This window comes from Homo sapiens, chromosome 2 (assembly GCF_000001405.40).
Source record: "Homo sapiens chromosome 2, GRCh38.p14 Primary Assembly".
Classification (NCBI taxonomy): domain Eukaryota; kingdom Metazoa; phylum Chordata; class Mammalia; order Primates; family Hominidae; genus Homo; species Homo sapiens.
In genome coordinates this window covers 38,834,462-38,854,043 of record NC_000002.12, presented here as the reverse complement: position 1 = coordinate 38,854,043, position 19,582 = coordinate 38,834,462, and the positions used below count along the sequence as shown (strand labels likewise).

The following is a 19,582-nucleotide window of genomic DNA, read 5'->3' as shown; positions in this document are numbered from 1 at the left end:
GACTTTCCCAGGGAACACACACTCACCTGAATTGAAGGCATGGCAGAAAAAATTGTTTTCTAGTTCCAATTCAGTTTCATGCAGCTAGTAATGGTAATTTGCCACAAGGAAGGCCTATGTTAGAGAAGAGCAACTGCTTTCTTGATCTCCAGGGTCTGTAACACTAAAAAGGACAGCACATGCTCATCACTTATTAGATGGAGTCATCCTGTTAGGTTAGAAGGTATACTTCACACCATCCTGGGCATTATGCTAAGTTGAATACCGTACTTAGTAGAAATAACAGATGTCATGCATGCTGTGGCTGAATGTATCTTCTTCCTTGTTTATTTGGCCATTCAGTCCTGACATTGATTCATGTATTTATTGAGCCTGCATTAAATGCCAAGTGATATATTAGTTGCTGGGGATACAGTGATGAACAAGCATGTATGGCTCCCCCTCATCTCTTACAGTCCAGTAGAAAAAACAAATAATGAACAAGTAAACAAGCAAATGATTGTAAATTGGAATAAGCACTATGAAGGAATAAACGGCATGCTGTGTTTGGAGGGAGAGACCCATAGATGCTCAAAGATCATATCTCTGTAAGATGACAATTTAAATTCAAAACTGAAGTATGGCCGGGCGCAATGGCTCACACCCATAATCCCTGCACTTTGGGAGGCCAAGGTGGGAGGATCGCTTGAGCTCAGGAGTTGGAGCCCCACCTGGGCAACATAGTGAGACCATGTTTCCACGAAAAGTAAAAAAAACAAAACAAAACAAAAAATAGCCAGTAGTCATTCTACTGGGGATACAGAAAAAAAAAAAAAAAAATTAGCCAGGCGTGATGCCTCACACCTAAGGTCCCAGCTACTCAGGAGGCTGAGGCAGGAGAATCAATTGAGCCCCCAGGAGGTTGAGGCTGCAGTGAGCTGTGATAGCACCACTGCACTCCACCCTGGTCAAGAAAGCAAGACCCTGTCTCAAAAGAAAAGAAAAGAAAAGAAAAGAAAACTGAAATATGAGAAGGAATCCCAGGTGACAAACGGGGGTAAGGAAAGTATGTTTGAAGATTTTGCAGTGGGAAGGGGCTTTGTGAGTCCAGAAACAAGGAAGCCCAGTGCACCTGCTGTGTAGCAGCAAAGGGGAAAGTAGCACAGGGAAGAAGCAGCAGGAGCCAGACCTTCCAGGGCCTTAAGCACCACGAATAATAAAGCATGTGGATTTTATCTTATGAAATTAGAAGTCATTAAAGGGTGAGGCATAAAATAAAAATTCTTGCCAGACACAGTGGTGCATGCTTGTAGTTCCAGCTACTGAGGAGGCTGAGGCAGGAGGATTGCTTAAGTTCAGGAGTGCAAGGCTGTGGTGTGCTATGATTGCACCTGTGAAGAGCCACTTCAGCCTGGGAAATATCATGAGACTCCATCTCTAAAAAAAAAAAAAAAAAAAATTAAAAGTCTGAATATTTTAAGTACTGAGGAGGGCCAGGAAGATGGATGGCATTAATCATAGTTTGTCATGTGGATCATGCCCTAGAGCAGTAAAAGAAAACTAGTGGGAAAAAAGAGAAAGTCCTGTGAAAATTATGAAGTTTTCCCACAAAGTATTGTACCACAATAAATATCTTGAGAAGAAGAAAAAAAGTCTAAGTAAACTTGGTGGACTGATAGGAAAGCAGAAAATAGCTAAAAGCAAAACATTAAAAAAAAAAAAAAAAAAGGATTGGTGGCAGGCGCCTGTAGTCCCAGCTACTCGGGAGGCTGAGGCAGGAGAATCGCTTGAACCTGGGAGGCGGAGGTTGCCGTGAGCCGAGATTGCGCCACTGTACTCCAGGCTGGGCGACAGAGCAAGAAAAAAAAAAAAGGAATTGAACAGAGAAGGCATATAACCAGAAGAACTATTAGAAGAAATAATACATTACTATTATTAGTAAATAAGAAATATGAAGTAATTAGAAACTAAAGAAAGACTTTTAGATAAAAAGAATGAACCAAAAGAAAAAGAAATAATTCCTAGAACAAGACAATAATAAATATTAAATTACTATACAGAAAACATTGGAAATCTCTAAGGGGCAAATAATCTTTTTGTAGAAACTCCAGAAAACAATGGGAAAAAAAATTAATGGTAAATAATGTCATTTTGCCACTGTTGGAAATGAACATCTGAAAGAAGAAATTTTTTTAACAAAATCATTGAACAACTTGGAAGAGGAAGCCAAATAAAACATTCTCTCAGATTAATGGTATTTAAATGATTGATTTATAAAGATAAGTTTAAACTTTTAGGGAAACCTATATCCAGTATAATTTTGAATATGAAGAGTAGCTTTGGATTCTATAACATTTGTACTTCCACAAACTTGAAGAAATGAGAACATAGCACTGGATTTGGTTCCTGGCTAAAATAGGAGAAAGATTTTTATAAAACCTAAGGATCTGTAGAATATGAACGTTAAAAATTCAAAAGATGTTCACATCTGAATAAAGATTAATTACACAGTGGAGAAGGGTGCTTCAAATATTTACAAATACCAGTTTACAAGAAAGGGTATACAAATTACAAGGAAAAGTAGGGGAATATTTGCTAACTCTGACTGAAAAAAGCAAAAACTAATAAAATCTAGGAACAAAAATCAGTAAAAATATTGGCAAGATTAAAGGTTGAATATAGAAAGGTGACAGTTGTGTTAGTTTGAAATTTTAATAAATTTTCTAATCACAGAGATGACATGATCATTCTAAGGCATACAGTAAATACCAAAAAATGTAAAAGAAGAATCTCTGTCCCTTATAAAATTGCTAGTTACATGTTATAATTTTAGTCTCTTTTCTTCTGGGAGTATATTGGGAGTTAGAAGAGGGATATGGTAGAAAGAGAGATGTATTTCCACAAACACTATTGGGATTATATAGTTTTGTTGTGCTGTTTTTGATTTAACAGAATGATAGCATGAGTTAATGAATTATCTTTTTTTTTTTTTGAAACAAAGTCTTTGTCATCCAGGCTGGAGTGCAGTGGTGCAGTCTCAGCTCACTGCAGCCTCCACCTCCCAGGTTCAAGCGATCCTCCTGCCTCGGCCTCCCAAGTAGCCGCAACTACAGGTGCACGCCACCAGGCCTGGCTAATTTTTCTATTTTTTTAATAGAGTCGGAGTTTCACCATGTTGGCCAGGCTTGTCTTGAACTCCTGAGCTCAAGTGATATGCTCGCCTTGGCCTCCCAAAGTGCTGGGATTACAGGTGTAAGCCACCACACCCAGCTGAATTATCTGTAAAATTAAGAATTTCATAAGGAAATTCTGAAGTCTGGATATACCATAAATTACTTAACCATTTGCCTGTTGTTGTTGGACTATTTCCCTGAAAAAGAAACAAAAATAGTCATAAATGTAATTAAATTAGCTCATTAAAAAGAGCTAAGTAGTATAAGAATGTTTTCATTAAAAACTCAAACAGGCCAGGTGCAGTGGCTCACACCTACAGACCTTCCATTCTGGGATTACTGATTATATGTTCAGTAATCCCAGCATTTTGGGAAGCCAAGACAAGAGGATCACTTGAGCCCAGGAGTTTGAGACCAGCCTGGGCAATATAGGGAGACACCATCTCTACTATAAAAACAAAAACAAAAAAATTAGCCCCAGCTACTCAGGAGGCTGAGGCAGGAGGATCACTTGAACCCAGTTCAAGGCTGCAGTGAGCCATGATAACGCCACTGCACTCCAGCCTGGGTGACAGAGCGAAACCTTGTCTCAAAAAAAAAGGTAAGAAAAACGTTATAGATAAAGTGAAAGTCCCTCTTACTACTCCCAAACCACTCTCAGTTCCTTTCTTAGAAGTAAACTGGTAGTACATCTTTCTATGCATGGATATAGATGTTTACTTTGTTAGAAATAGTTACTTTTGTTTTCTGACCTTTTTTTCTTACACAGATGATATATTCATTTAGTAAGTCAATGAATATTCATTGAGTACTTACTATGTCCCAGGCATTGTTGTAGATCCTGCAGTAGTGAATAAAATTCTTGTCCTTGTAGAACTTCTATTCTAGTGGGAGAGCTCATCAATAAGCAAGATAAATAAGTAAAATACAGAATATGGTAAGTGCTAAGAAGAAAAAATAAAGCAGAAAAAAGACAATAGAAATTCAAGGGAGGAGGGCATTTGAAATTTTAAATAAGGTAGCCAAGGAAGTCCTCACTGAAAAACTATCTTTGGAGTAAGGACTTGAAGGAAGTGAGGGAGCTACCTGTGTGAAGGGCTAGGAGAAGCCCAGTAATCCAGGCAGATTAATAACATGTACAAAAGACCCAAGGTGCATGCCTCAAAGACGGCAAGGAGAACAGTGAGCCGGTGCTGAGTGAATGAACGGGAGAGTACTAGAAAAAGATGGGGAGCATGGGGTGTAGACCGTGCCATATAGAGCCTTGTTAGTAAGAATTCTAATGAGAAGTCATTGGATTTTAAGCAGAAGAGTGGCACAATCAGATTTTTCTTTTTTTTTTTTAAGAGATGGGGTCTTGCTATATCGGCTAGGTTGGTCTTGAACTCCTGGCCTCAAGCATTCCTCCCACCTCAGCCTCCCAAACTGCTAGGATTACAAGTGTGAGCCACCGCACCCCGTCAGCACAATCAGACTGACATTCGAAGAGCATTATTGGTTGGCTGTATTGAGAACAGATTGCAAGGGGGCAAGGGCCAAGAGACCAATTAGGGTGGTGTTATTCTGCCGTGCATACTATTCCAGGCAACTTGGGATTTTTCCTACTAAAAATATGTCTTAGAGATGTTTTCATGTTATTTTCTAGAGCTCTACCTTATTCCTTGTATCTGCTTCATGTTATTTCATAGACTGGATGATATTGTTATAATTAACCATTTATCAGTTAGTTGATGGACATTTGGGTAGTTTCTACTGTCTTACTATTACAAACAATGCTATAATGAAAATCTTTGTATGTGCCTCTTTGTGGTACACATAGATATCAAGAAGTAGAATTATCAAATTTGTACCCTATACCAGCTAAGAGTAAAAAAATAATAATTATAAAATTTGATTATCAATCCTGTTGGGATTTTGATTGGTACTGCCTGGATTTGGTTTCTTTGGGAAAGAATTTATATCTTTATACAGGTTGAGCATCCCTAATCCAAAAATCAGAAATAATCCAAAATCTGAAACTTCTTGAGTGCTGACATGACACTACAAGTGGTAAGATTCCACACCTGACACCTTTGCTCTCCGATGGTTCAATGTATACCAACTTTATTTCACAGACAAAATTATTCAAAATATTATATACAGTTACCTTTAGGCTGTGTATATAAGGTATATATGAAACATAAATTGATTTCTTGTTTAGATTTAGACCCCATCCCCCAGATATCTCATTATGTATATGCAACTATTCTAAAATCTGAGAAAATTTGAAATCTGAAACACTTCTGGTTCCAAGCATTTCACATAACAGATATTCAACCTGTAATAGTAAGGCTTCACATCCAAGAACAGGACATATTGTTCTATGAACGTTAATGGTTTTTTTTTTTCACAGAGATCTTACACATTTCTTGCTCAAAATATAGTAAAAGTTACTAATTTTCATGTGTTGAATTTGTTTGATCCTCAGGTGTTTCTTTTATTTTCTCTAGTGACTTCTTGCTGCTAGTTTTGAAGGACATTGTATCGCAGAGGCCAGGTCTTCAAGTTATTTTAATGAGTGCAACTCTAAACGCTGAGCTTTTTTCAGACTATTTTAATTCCTGCCCCGTTATTACTATACCAGGTGAATAAAATGCATCATTAAATATGTATCATTCTAATAAGCAAATATAATTATTTTAAAGTTTGAGACATAAGTAGATATTTATACCTCTTTCTAGAGAAGCGATTCATTTATAACATAAAATCATAAACCATATAATGCAGCTGATAAGGAGGTAACATATCTTGCTGGGAGATTTTTTTTTTTGAGACAGAGTCTCGCTCTGTCACCCAGGCTGGAGTGCAGTGGCGTGATCTCGGCTCACTGCAACCTCTGCCTCCCGGGTTCATGCCATTCTCCTGCCTCAGCCTCCCGAGTAGCTGGGACTACAGGTGCCCGCCACCTCACCCAGCTAATTTTTTGTATTTTTAGTAGAGACGGGGTTTCACTGTGTTAGCCAGGATGGTCTCCATCTCCTGACCTCACGATCTGCCCGCCTCGGCCTCCCAAAGTGCTGGGATTACAGGTGTGAGCCACTGCACCCGGCCATTGCTGGGAGATTTTAATTTTTTTAGGGGACTTTTAAAAAAAGTCATAGTTACTTATTTCTAGCATTCCATTGTGTTTAACATCAAAGTTGATAGTGGCAGTCTGTCATAAAGAGGGAACTTGTGTCTGTGACAGTATATTTGTTCATTTCTGGATTCTGCTAAATTTCTGGGTGTTGGTCCACTCTGGCAGAAAGTGACATTGGACAGTCTGTGTTTTCTTTGGGCACTTCCACAGTCTCATTGTGGAATTAATTTATCACCCTGAGCTTTGATTTATCCTTCTTCAATTGAATACTAAAAAGACACTTTGGAAACACTGACTGATAAAAAATAGTGCAGTTTGTTTTAGTTATAGGGAATGCTGGCAGTAAATCTAAGGAAGAAACTTTGTGTTTGATCTAGAATACAACTGTTGAATGTTTAAAGGTCCTCTATGGTGGAAGTGGCGGGGGCAGGGGAGGAGGGTATGAAAGGTGTAACAGGTAAAAGAAAAAAAGTCTTAGCAAAGGATCATTTCTCTACCTATACACTGCTTCTGTTTACTGACTGAAATCTGCCCTTTCCAATTTCTGTTACCAGAACTTTTCTTCTTGATACTTTTAAGACCACAGAACAAATAGGACGTTAGCATGACAAGCTTTAAGAGAATTTTATATATATAAACTATTTCAAGATGGTTGAATGGGTGTTCTCAGGCTTTCTATTTTGTCTCCTTGTTTTTCTAGGTCGTACATTTCCTGTTGATCAATTTTTTTTGGAAGATGCAATTGCTGTGACAAGGTAAGGAAGATATTAATTAAGATTCAGTGAAAGGACCTGGCATGGTGGTTCATCCCTGTAATTCTAGCACTTTGGAAGGCAAAGGTGGGAGGATCTTTTGGGGCCAGTTCAAGACCAGCTTGGGCAACATATTGGGACCCCCATCTATTGAGAAAAAAAAAAAGATTCAGTGAAACTTTGAAAACAGAATAATATTTGACCCTCAATGTGCCAGAATACTAATACATGTGTTAGTCTTTTTTTCTAATTTTTCTGCACTTGATTTCAGCCAAAAAGCCAAGAAGTGATTTTCTTCTATTTTTTCTGTTTGAACATTTTGTTCTCCCCTCTCTTTCAGCAAACAGACTGCCAATATTTAAGTCCCTCTACTTACTTTTTCTTTCTTTCTTTTTTTTTTTTTTTGAGATAGAGTCTTACTCTGTTGCCCAGGCTGGTGTGCAGTGGTGTAATCATAGCTCACTGCAGCCTCGAATACCTGGCTCAAGCAGTCCTTCTACTTCAGCCTCCTGAGTAGCTGAACTACAGACACACACCCCCATGCCTAATTTTTTTTAATGGTTTTGTAGAGACGGGTCTCATTATGTTGCCCAGGCTGGTCTCAAACTCCTGACCTCAAGCAGTCCTCCTGCCTTGCCTCCCGAAGTGCTGGGATTACAGTCATGAGCCACCATGCCTGGCCCCCTCTACTTACTATAACTTTGGCAAGTAGCTTAATCTCTCTGTACTTTAGTTTTAATGAATTTATACTTGCTGATTCTGCTGAGAGCATTAAAAAATTAATGAATTAATACTTGCAAAGTGCTTAGAACTGTGCTTGGCACATAATGCATGCTCTCAAATGTTAGCAGTTATTGGCTGGGTGTGGTAGCTCACACCTGTAATCCCAGCACTTTGGGAGGCCGAGGCGAGCAGATCACCTGAGGGCGGGAGTTCAAGACCAGCTTGGCCAATATGGTGAAACCCTGTCTCTACTACGAATACAAAAGTTAGCTGGGCATGGTGGTGCATGCCTGTAATGCCAGCCAATCTGGAGGCTGAGGCAGGAGAATCGCTTGAACCTGGAAGGCAGAGGTTGCAGTGAGCTGAGACCACGCCATTGCACTCCAGCCTGGGCGGCAGAGTAAAACTCTGTCTCAAAAAAAAAAAAAAAAAAGTTAGCTATTATTATCATCATCATCATTGTACTCGCATAGAGTTTGCAGTATAGCCTGAGTGTTAAGATATCTGTATAAACAATTGTAAGTGCTAGGTAGAAAATGTTAATGTGTATTGCATATAAACAGATCTCTCTTCTTTGAAAGCCCTACTTTCTCTTCTTAGTCTCTGATCTTGAGGATTCCGCAAGATTTTCCTTGCACTGTTTCTTCTCACTATTAACTCTCCCTTGGCTACCTTAGACTCATGTGATTTCAGCTGTCATCCCTGTGCCGAGAACTCCCAGATTAGTATCTTCATTCCTGACCTCTGAGCTCTAGAATGAAACACCCCTAATATCTGACAGCTTAAATACAAGTCAGAATTTTTCTCCTTCTCTGTTCCTTCCTTCTCTAATAAGCCCCCCTCCTAATTCCATATTCATTTAATGGTACTATATTCTCAAGGTAAAAACCCAAAACCAGTGGCTCTCAAATTTTAATGTGCAATAAGGATACTTAGGGAGCTTATTAGAATTATTATTTTCTGGGCCCTATCCCACTACCATTGAATATGAGTTTCTGAGGAAATCATCTTTCAACTAGTTTACCTGTCTTTACTTTTTCAAACTCACTGCTTCCAGAATATATATATATATGGGTTTTTTTTTGTTTGTTTTTTGTTTTTTTTTAAGACAGCCTCACTCTGTCACCCAGGCTGAGTGCAGTGGTGCTATCATAGATCACTGCAGCCTTGTTCTTCCAGGCCCAAGTGATCCTGTTACCTCAGAATACTAAGTAGCTGGGACTACAGATGTGTGCCACCATGCCTGGCTAATTTTTTTATTTTTAGTAGAGACAAGGTCTCACTATGTTGCCCAGGCTCAGAATTATCTTTAAACATAGAATTGTTCACATTCCTCCTATTCTTAGAAATTTTCATTGGTTCCCTATCACTCACACTTTGTGGACACTAAAGGCCCATATCATCTGACCCCAGCCAATATTTAAGTTCCCTTCCTTCTTTAGTTTCCTACCTATAAAACCTTAGCACTCTCAGACTACTTGTTATTTCTGAAAGATGCCATACTATTACTATCTGTATTTCTTTTTCCCACTTCCTTCTCTAGTCATTCTTTAACACCCAACTTGAATGCTACCTCCATGAAATTTCCTATTTTCTGCTATTAAAAATTAATCATTTCTTTTTTTTTTTTTTTTTTTTTTTTTTTTTTTTTTTTTTTTTTTTTTTTTTTGAGACGGAGTCTCGCTCTGTCGCCCAGGCTGGAGTGCAGTGGCGCGATCTCGGCTCACTGCAAGCTCCGCCTCCCGGGTTCACGCCATTCTCCTGCCTCAGCCTCCCAAGTAGCTGGGACTACAGGCGCCCGCCACTACGCCCGGCTAATTTTTTGTATTTTTAGTAGAGACGGGGTTTCACCGTTTTAGCCGGGATGGTCTCGATCTCCTGACCTCGTGATCCGCCCGCCTCGGCCTCCCAAAGTGCTGGGATTACAGGCGTGAGCCACCGCGCCCGGCCTAATCATTTCTTTATTAGAAGTCACAGAATACTTTTCTTGTGCCTCTAATAACATTTATTTCTGTCTTACAGTATAGTGTGTTGTTTTGTTCTGTTCTCACTAGTTTGTAAGCTCCTTGAAAGTATACTTATTTTTCTATACCATACCACCACCGTCACCATAGTCCCTTGTCCAAAATAGGCATTCAGTAAATATTCAATAAACAAACAAACGGTGAATGTGAAAAGAGTGTTGGCATTTAATGGAGAGAAGGGGTTGGAGGAAGTCAGGATTATAGAATCATAGGTTTTTAAATCTTTTTTTTAAAAAGCTACAATACACTTTATGCAAATGAAATCTTATAGGAAATCATAGAGAAATGAAACATAAAACAAGAATGATTGGGCTGAAAGAATAGCCCCCAGTTACTTACTTTGCTCCCATTCCCTTACCTTTCCTTGGGGCTTTGAGCAACATTTAAGGCTCCAGGGAAAAAAAATCGAGCCACTTACCTATGCCAATTTCCCAAAACATGAGAAAGTAAAGCCTTTTGAAATTGACTTGTTAGAAGTCTCATGGCAGATTGGTTTAGTGGCAGACAGAACTCAAATCCAGAGCTTTTGTTTCCAAATCTATTCATTTTTCTGCTTTGCCATGATGTCTAATAGGATTGTCACTAACAAATATTAAACTATCCAGTTGTAAGAGTTTTGAAATGTTTTAAGAATAGTCTTAGGTTGATGTTCAGCCAACAGCTAGAAACTTGGGTCCAAATTTGATTGCAACAAAAGGAAATCAGCTGCCTGGGAATTATCATAGAAACAAGAGGATCAATAAGATTGCTGAAGAAAAATCAAAAATGAAGAGGGGTGTTACTAAGGCTATAACTCAAATGTGTTTTCTGAATGTCCATGCCATTATTCCTGGATAGAGCTTTTCTCCAAATTCTTAGCTGGTCTCCGAGACAGACCTAAAAGCATTGCAGTGTGTTCCCAACCAGAAATAGGGTACAGCCAGAATCCTGGACTGGTGGAAGGATGGCATGTGAATTGGGCAGACAGTGACATTTTGCTGAACGAGCACGTGAAACAGGTGAATTCTTTCCCTCCTCACCAACAGGACCACATACACACAACCACATTCCTTTGTCTTTCTCAGGTATGTATTACAGGATGGGAGCCCATATATGCGGTCCATGAAACAGATTTCAAAGGAAAAGCTTAAAGCAAGGCGGAACAGAACTGCATTTGAAGAAGTGGAAGAAGACCTAAGGCTCTCCCTTCACCTCCAGGATCAGGATTCTGTCAAAGATGCAGTGCCAGATCAACAGTTAGATTTTAAGCAGCTCCTGGCCCGCTATAAAGGTAACATGCCTCTTGGGGGAATATTATAATTATGCCAAAGATTTCTAGTATTCTTTCTTACCAAGATTCGGAAGAAGAAAAATATGATTCTTGTTTCATAGTTACATTGCCTTTAATTCATCAGAGCAACCTTAAACCTAGAAAAATAGTTCAGATACATATTTAGAATACAATTGTTACTATATTTGCCAATGGGTTTTTTTTCTAATTATAAAAGAAATATGTGCTCATTAGAGAAAAATTGTGAGGTAGTAAAATATAAGTTATATTCTTGTGCATTTTGTAGCTTTTTATTTTGATGTGATTTCAAATTTATGGAAAAGTTCGCAAGGCTAAACGATGAACTCTCATATATCCTTTACCCCAATTCACCAGTTGTTAATGTTTACTTCATTTTTTGCTTTATCATTTGCTCTGGGTTCATGTATTTTTTTTTTCTGAATCTCCTGAGAGTAAGTTACAGATATGATGCTCCTTTACCCTTAATACTTTAGTGTGTCTTTCCTAAGAACAAGGACATTCTCTTACGTAACCACAGTACAGTGATCAAAATGAGGACATTTAACACTGATACAATTATATAATTCACAGTCCATACTCAGGCTTGAACAATTATCTCAGTAATGTTTATTTTTGCTGTATTTTCCTGATTCAGGATCCTATCATGGATCATATATTACATTCAGTCATGTATTCTTAGTCTCCTTTGATCTAGAACAGCTCCTCATCCTTTGTCTTTTAGTGACCTTGACATTTTTGAAGATTATTTTGTAGAATGTCCATCCATTTGGGTTTAGTATTTCTCCATGATTAAATTTAGGTTATACATTTTTGGCTGGAGCATCACAAAAACGATCTTGATTTCTCAATGCATCATATCAAAAGGCACATGGGCCCCGTGGTGTTGGCTTGTCCCATTATTGGCAATGTTAACTTGTTCACTTGGTAAAGGTAATGTTTGCTAGGTTTCTCCCTTGGTAATTGCTATTTCTTTTGTAGTTAATAAGTCATTTGTGAAGCAATATTTGACATGATTTTAAAACCATTTAATATCCCAATAGTTTTAGCATTATTCGTGGGCTTTTAAAATAACATCTTTTGAGGCCTACCCTGTGCTGAGCTTTTTATGTATGTTATTAGGTACTTCCTCCTCCCATGCCAGACTCTAGCTGGCTACTCTTTGTTCCTATGTGGTCTTCTATCCATATAAGCTAAACTGAGCCCATAGAAACCCCAGGATCACTACTTTTGCTTTCTTCCTTGAAGCCTAGACTACAAGCAGGTCTCAGCTGTCCTTCTTGCTCCTTTTTCCGTAGACTGTCACCCTGTTCTTAGTTCTTCCCAAAAAAGGGTGTTTATTGTTCATGAGTAAGAGCTTCCAACCCGTTACTGCTTCTGTAGGATACAAGGCAAATGAATTTTCCTTTTTCTGCATCTACCAAAGACAGTTCCCAATCCTGGATGTGGAATGGTAATCACCAAGGAATTAAGATATTAGCCATTATTCTGTTGTTTAGGAAGATAAGCATAGCTCCCTAACATTTTATTTCATCTTCGCAATATTGAGAGATGTAAAGCTAAGAGAATGGACTTGTGTTTTATAGATCTGGGTTCAACTCCCAAGGCTCTCATAAAACCAGCTAATGATCTTGAGCAAGTTCTTTATCATCTCTGTGCCTCAGTTTCCTTATCTATAAAGTGGAATCATTTAGATGAGTATAATACAAACCCACAAGGATAGTGCCCAGCTAGTAAGTGCAGATCCATGATTCTAATTAAAATATGTCTAACTAAAAAATTTGTGTGCTTTTTGTACGTCATACCAACTGATAATTCAGATTCCCTTATTCCATTAAATTATGGAACAAGAAAATTCCTTTGAGGTTGGGCATGGTGGCTCACGCCTATAATCCCAACACTTTGGGAGGCTGAGGCAGGAGGATCACATGAGCCCAGGAGTTCAAGACCAGCCTGGGCAATACATTGAGACCTTGTCTCTACTACAAATGTTTTTTAAAATTAGCCGGGCATGGTAGTTGGCACCTGTAGTCCCAGCTACTCAGGAGGCTGAGGCGGGAGGATTGCTTGAGCAAAGGGATTCAAGGTTGCAGTGAGCTATGATCGCACTAGTGCACTCCAGCCCCAACAGAGCAAGACCTTGTCTCAAAAAAAAGAAAATCCCTTTGGCTTCTTTCAAAATTTTGGAGTTTTCTTTTAAAATTATCACTGAATCTAATCCATGACTTTCTAATTTTAAGCACAAAGGTTACTAAAGTTCAGAAAGTACCTTTGGGACCCCCTTTTTAAGGAAGGAGAATGGAGGAGTTGAGGTCAGGAAACATGACTCTGCCACCAGCTTCTGTATGGTACTGGGCTGATTGCTTAGCTTTTCTGAGCTTCTGGTTCTGTTTTTTGTTTGTTTGTTTGTTTTAAAAAAAACAAAAGTCCTTACAAAAATTAGCCAGGTGTGGTGGCACACACCTGTAGTCCCAACTATTTGGGAGGTTGAGGAATGAGAATCGCTTGAACCCAGGAGGCGGAGGCTACAGTGAGCCCAGATTGCACCACTGCACTCCAGCCTGGGCAACAGAGCAAGACTCCATCTCAAAAAAAAAAAAAATGCCTTGAATTTGTTGATCTCAATGTTCTCTTTCGCCTTTCAGAAAATTAAATAATGTTTCCTAGCTCAATTTTTAAGGCATTTTCTAGTTTTTCTTTGAAAAAATTAATGATCAGTCATTTAAAATATATTATTGATTTGGCTGGGCACAGTGGCTCATGCCTATAATCCCAGCACTTTGAGCGGCTGAGGCCAGAGGATTGCTTGAGCCCAGGAGTTCAAGACCAGCCTGGGCAACATGGTGCTGCCTTGTCTCTTAAAAAAATTTTTAAATTAGCTGGTGTGGTGGTGTGCACCTATAGTCCCTGCTACTCAGGAGGCTGAGGTGAGAGATCATTTGAACCCCAAGGGCCAAGGCTGCAGTAAGCCATGATCACGCCACTGCACTCCAGCCTGAGGAGAAGAGTGAGACCCTGTCTCAATAATAATAATTTTAAAAAACAAAACTATGTTCAGTTTTCTTTTTTCAATTAGCTGATCCTTTCTTCTTTTTGAAAAGTCTGGCTTTTTGGAATCTTGGCAAAGAAAAGTGATTCTGCTCCACCTTTCTCACCCAACCACACCCTTGTTTGTGCAGCCTGTTGCTTCCTTTTTTTCATTTTTGACCAACATGGTATTCATTCTACCAGAACAACATTGTTTCAAAACTCCTTTTTTTTTTTTTTGAGACGGAGTCTTGCTCTGTCGCCCAGCAGGAGTGCAGTAGCGCGATCTCAGCTTACCACAACCTCCGCCTCCTGGGTTCAAGCGAATCTCCTGCCTCAGCCTCCCAAGTAGCTGGGATTACAGGCACCCACCACCATGCCTGGCTAATTTTTTTTTTTTTTGTATTTTTAGTAGAGATGGGGATTTCCCATATTGGTCAGGCTGGTCTCAAACTCTTGACCTCAGGTGATCCACCCATCTCGGCCTCCCAAAGTGCTGGGATTACAGGCATGAGCCACCGCGCCCAGCCGAAACTGCTTTTGTCCCTCTTCAAACTTCTCAGCATCATATAGGAAGTTTCCCTTCCTTGGTACCAACTATAGTTATTTTGTTCCAGTTAGACTGTAGTTAGGGCGATAGGTCATTAGGAGAGCCTGAGAAGAATGGGCAGCAGTCTTTGAAGAGTTAGTCACCCCAACAATATACTATTGCTTTTAAAAGAGCTGAGGTGGCCGGGCGCGGTGGCTCACGACTATAATCTCAGCAGTTTGGGAGGCCGAGGCGGGTGGATCACGAGGTTAGGAGTTCGAGACCAGCCTGACCAACATGGTGAAACCCCATCTCTACTAAAAATACAAAAATTAGCTGGCCGTGGTACTACGTGCCTGTAATCCCAGCTACTCAGGAGGCTGAGGCAGGAGAATCGCTTGAATCCGGGAGGTGGAGGTTGCAGTGAGCCGAGATCACACCACTGCACTCCAGCCTGGGTGACAGAGCAAGACTCTGTCTCAAAAATAAAATAAAATAAAAAAATAAAAGAGCCGAGGCTTGTAGTACATCCTATAGAACTACATCGTTTACCAGATCGCAGATAGATTAGGAGATTGTGAGTGGGGAGATTGTGAGGGTCTATGAGTAGACTCCGTGGGTGTTAATGAAGATATTACAATCACATTTATTTTTCAGGGAAGATCAACCACTTATCATTTTCTCAAAGGAACCTAAAGGTTCAGCGAGTCACTGTTATAAAAATGCTGGTGAAAGCTGGGGTCTCTGTCCATTGATTGCCATAGGTTAGTGTTACCTGGACTTCCAGCATATCTCATTCATGATTCGATTGAATCTAGAAGAAGTTTCTAAAATGTATTTGACGTTGAATTTTGTTTCCAGAACTTAAGCTTTCAATAAATATTTGAAGGGTAAAAGAGGGGAAGGAATGAGGAGAGTAAAAAGTGGCCCATCTGGGTCTTTCCAACAGGGGCAGGAGCCTGCTTTTTGGGTCATTGTTCAAGCAAAAATTACTTCTGATGAGGCTGGATTTTCTGGGAAACTAAAAGAAAAAAGTGGGCTGGTTGTGGTGGCTGTAATCCCAGCACTTTGGGAGGCTGAGGCAGGAGGACTGCCTTAGCCTGGGAGTTCGAGACCAGCCTGGGCAACACAGCAAGACCCCATGTCTACAAAAAATAAAATTAAATTAACCAGGTATGGTGGTGCATGCCTGCAGTCCCAGCCTCTCAGGAGGCTGAGATCGGAGGATCACTTGAGCCTGGGAGGTCGAGGCTGCAGTGAGCTGTGATCACACCACTGCATTCCAGCCTGGGTGACAGAGCAAGACCCTGTCTCTAAATAAAGAAAAGAAAAAAGTTCATTTCAGTACATTAAATGTTAATATCTGTGCTATTAAACCAACACTCACCTAATTCACAGGCATATTGTATATGGTATAAATATACAATAAAATACATCAACAAGGTATAAATATCCTTCTCATTTTTACCTTTCTTTCTTTCAGGGGTTAGCAAGTCAGTCATCAAAACAATGTCCATCATGGATTTTGAAAAGGTGAATCTTGAATTAATAGAGGCCTTATTAGAGTGGATTGTGGATGGAAAGCACTCCTACCCTCCAGGTAACTGCTTCTTTATTAAGGCTTGAATGACAATTGAAACACTTAGTCCTTGGCTAAATGGGAGTCTATTCATGAGTGCTTGAATTACATGCAGACTCTGCACACAGGCTACAAGGCAGTGGGGTTAAGAATACAGGCTTTGCAGTCTGATAAACTTCCCAGCTCTGCTATTCAGGAATCTTGAAACCTTGAATAAAGTCTTTATCTTTTTTTTTTTTTGAGACGGGGTTTTGCTCTTGTTGCCCAGGCTGGAGTGCAATGGCGTGACCTTAGCTTACTGCAATCTCCGCCTCCCGGGTTCAAGCGATTCTCCTGCCTCAGCCTCCTGAGTAGCTGGGATTACAAGCATGTGCCACCACACCTGGCTAATTTTGTATTTTTTAGTAGAGACAGGTTTTCTCCCTGTTGGCCAGGCTGGTCTCGAACTCCTGATCTCAGGTGATCCGCCTGCCTCGGCCTCCCAAAGTGCTGGGATTATTGGCGTGAGCCACCGTGCCCGGCCTAGTCCTATCTTTTCTATGCTTCAATTTCCTTGTTGTAAAATGAAGACAGTAATAAATCCTGTTATGTAAAACTATTTTGGGGATTAAAAGAAACCATATGTAAGACACTTAGCACAGTATAGTTAAGGCTCAGTAGATACTACCCCTAATACTGATGACATTATAATTATAATAATACATGCCAGGTGCAATGGCTCACACTTGTAATCCCAGCACTTTGAGAGGCCAAGGAAGGTGAATCATTTGAGTCCAGGAGTTTGAGATCAGCCTGGAAAACATAGTGAAACCCCATCTCTACAAAAAAGTGCAAAAATTAGTCAGGCGTGGTGGCACATGCCTGTAGTCCCAGCAAGGGGTTGGAGTGGGAGGATTGCCTTAGCCTGAGAGGTGGAAGCTGCCATGAGCCATGATCGCACCACTGCACTCCAGCTTAGGCAACAGAGCAAGACCCTGTCTCAAAAAAACAGAAAAAAACCACACACCACATTTTGTATGTCATATGTATTACATACTGTATTCTCTTTTGTTTCTTTTTTTTTTTTTTTTTTTTTTGAGACAGGGTCTCACTCTCTTGCCCAGGCTGGAGTGTGCAGTGGCATGATGTCAGCTCACTGTAACCTCTTCCTCCTGGGTTCAAGCAGTCCTCTGGCCTCAGCTTCCCAAGTAGCTGGGACTACAGGTGTGCACCTCCACGCCTGGCTAATTTTTGTATTTTTAGTAGAGACAGGGTTTTGCCATGTTGGCCAGTCTGGTCTTGAACTCCTGACCTCACATGATCCACCCACCTTGGCCTCCCAAAGTGCTGGGATTACAGGCGTGAGCCACTGCACCTGGTGTACATACTGTATTCTTACAGTAAAGTAAACTAAAGAAAAGAAAATGTTATTTAAAAAGTCATAAGGAAGAGAAAATATATTTACTATTCATTAAGTGGAAGCAGATTATCATAAAGGTCTTCATCTTTGTTGCCTTCACATTCAGTAGGCTGAGGAGGAGGAAGAGGAGGGATTCCTCTTGCTGTCTCGGGTGGCAGAGGTGGAAGAAGTGGAAGGGGAGGCAGAAGAGGCAGGCACGCTCATTGCAACATTAAGGAAACATATTGTAATTTCTGTCTGACTTTGCTCTTTCATTTCTCTAAAAATGTTTCTATATAGTACCAATCCTTCCCCTGTTTGCTTTGGTTTCAGTGCTCTATCATAGAATGGTCCACGTCATAATAGAAGTTAAAAGCAGTCTTGAGTCTTTCTGCCAGACTGTCTAATGTCAATGTGTTTGCTGGCACTGCTGCTTCTTTTACATCTTCTTCCTCATTGTCTGGCACTGGTTCAGAAGCACTCATCTCCATCAAGTCATCTTCTGTTAATTCCCCTGGTGTGGTGTTGGCTAGCTCTTGAATTTCTCCAAGATCCATATCTTGAAATCATTCACCACTGCCACCATCTCCCCACCTTTATTCCATATCCATAGTCTCTTTTATGATTTTCTCACTTGTCTTATAAATCCTGTGAGGTCATGCACATCTGGACACAGCTTTGTCCAGCATCAGTTTATCGTTTTAGGCTTGATGGCTTTCGCACTTTTTCAATAACAACCGTGGCATCTTCAATGAAGTAATCCTTCCAGACTTTCATGATGTTCTCTCTATCAGAATTCTCTTTCGTAGCATTGACAGTCCTTTCCATAGAGTACCTGTATAATGAGCCTTAAAGGTCCTCATGAACTCCGCATATAGAGGCTAAATTAGAGACATATTTAGGGAAAAGTAGATCACTTCAGTGTCTTTGGTGTTGAACTCATGGGGTTCTGGGTGGCCAGTGGCACTGTCCAGTATGAAAAGAACTTTGGCAAGGTGCTTCCTGATTCCAGGGACAAAGCATTGATGGAACCAGTCCAGAAAAGGGGTTCCCATTGGCCAGCCTTTCTTGTACAACCAGAACACTGGCAGCTGGTGTTTCTTCTTTCTGTTCAAGGCCAGGGGTTAACTTTATAGACAGGGCAGTGCTGATCATGAACCCAACTACATTTGCACAAAAGAGTAGATTTAGCCTATCCCTTCCTGCCTTAAATCCTGGTACTCACTTCTCTTCCTTACTAATAAATGTCCTTTGTGGCATTTTTTTTCCAGAAGAGGGCGCTTTCATCAGTTATTTGGAACCTTTTCAGGCAGATACATTTCTCCTCAATGATTTTCTTAATGGCATCTGGGAACTCATTATCTGCTGCCTCTTGGTCAGCAGAAGCTGCTGCTTCTGTTATCTTGATATTTTAAAAGCCAAACCTCTTTCTAAAATTGTCAAACTATCCTTTGCTGGCATTAAATTTCCCAGCTTTAGATCCTTCCCTTCCGTTTGCTTTAAGTTGCTTTGCTTTTTCTTGACTCATACAGGTATGCCTTATAGCAATCTTGCTCCCACATAAAAACTGCATTTTCAATGAGATAAAAAGGTATTTCTCAAAAAGCGTAAGATTTTCACACCTGCTGGCATAGCTGCAGTGACAGCTTCACAAATCTCTTTTTCTTCTTTCACAATGGCCCTTACTCTGGATTCATTTATCTGGAAATGGCAGGCAACCACGGTTATAGACCTCCATCTGCGGAACATATTGAGCAATTCACCTTTTGCTTGTGATGTCATGACTTTTCTCTGCTTCTCGGGAGTACTTACAGCATCACTAGTGGCACTTCGTATAGCCATGATGTTATTCAAGGTTTACTGTATTCCACTAAACACAATGAAAAATGCACAAGAACCACAGAGATCACTTTTTACTATAATATACAATATTCTGACAAAACAAATGACTTACTTGGAGATGATTAGTGTCACAATACATTTTTTTAAGTCGATTCTCACAACACTTGAGC

General features: G+C 40.0%; 1 protein-coding gene and 1 long non-coding RNA gene across 9 annotated transcripts in view, besides 1 other annotated feature; one reads left to right on the top strand and one right to left on the bottom strand.

Annotated features, from left to right (window-relative positions):
• DHX57 (DExH-box helicase 57) overlaps nt 1-19,582 on the top strand; it is a 78,206-nt gene that overhangs the window by 21,891 nt on the left and 36,733 nt on the right. For all 8 annotated transcript variants that reach the window (NM_001329963.1, NM_198963.3, XM_011533154.3 and 5 more), the window contains 4 exons: nt 5,642-5,775; nt 6,971-7,025; nt 10,834-11,039; nt 16,097-16,213. In NM_001329963.1, coding sequence (NP_001316892.1) covers nt 5,642-5,775; nt 6,971-7,025; nt 10,834-11,039; nt 16,097-16,213 — 512 coding nt within the window. The remainder of the gene's footprint in view (nt 1-5,641; nt 5,776-6,970; nt 7,026-10,833; nt 11,040-16,096; nt 16,214-19,582) is intronic.
• LOC105374470 (uncharacterized) lies at nt 79-17,674 on the bottom strand. Its single transcript, XR_001739419.2, has 3 exons — nt 17,637-17,674; nt 11,101-11,176; nt 79-163 (listed from the first exon to the last, which is right to left on the bottom strand). It is a non-coding gene; the product is annotated as an uncharacterized LOC105374470 (long non-coding RNA).
• Nucleotides 3,825-3,914: an enhancer, noted in NCBI's record as "active region_15611". NCBI's record gives its function as "activates an Ori minimal core promoter by ATAC-STARR-seq in GM12878 lymphoblastoid cells {active_cell/tissue: GM12878}" and the evidence as "EXISTENCE:reporter gene assay evidence [ECO:0000049][PMID:35858748]".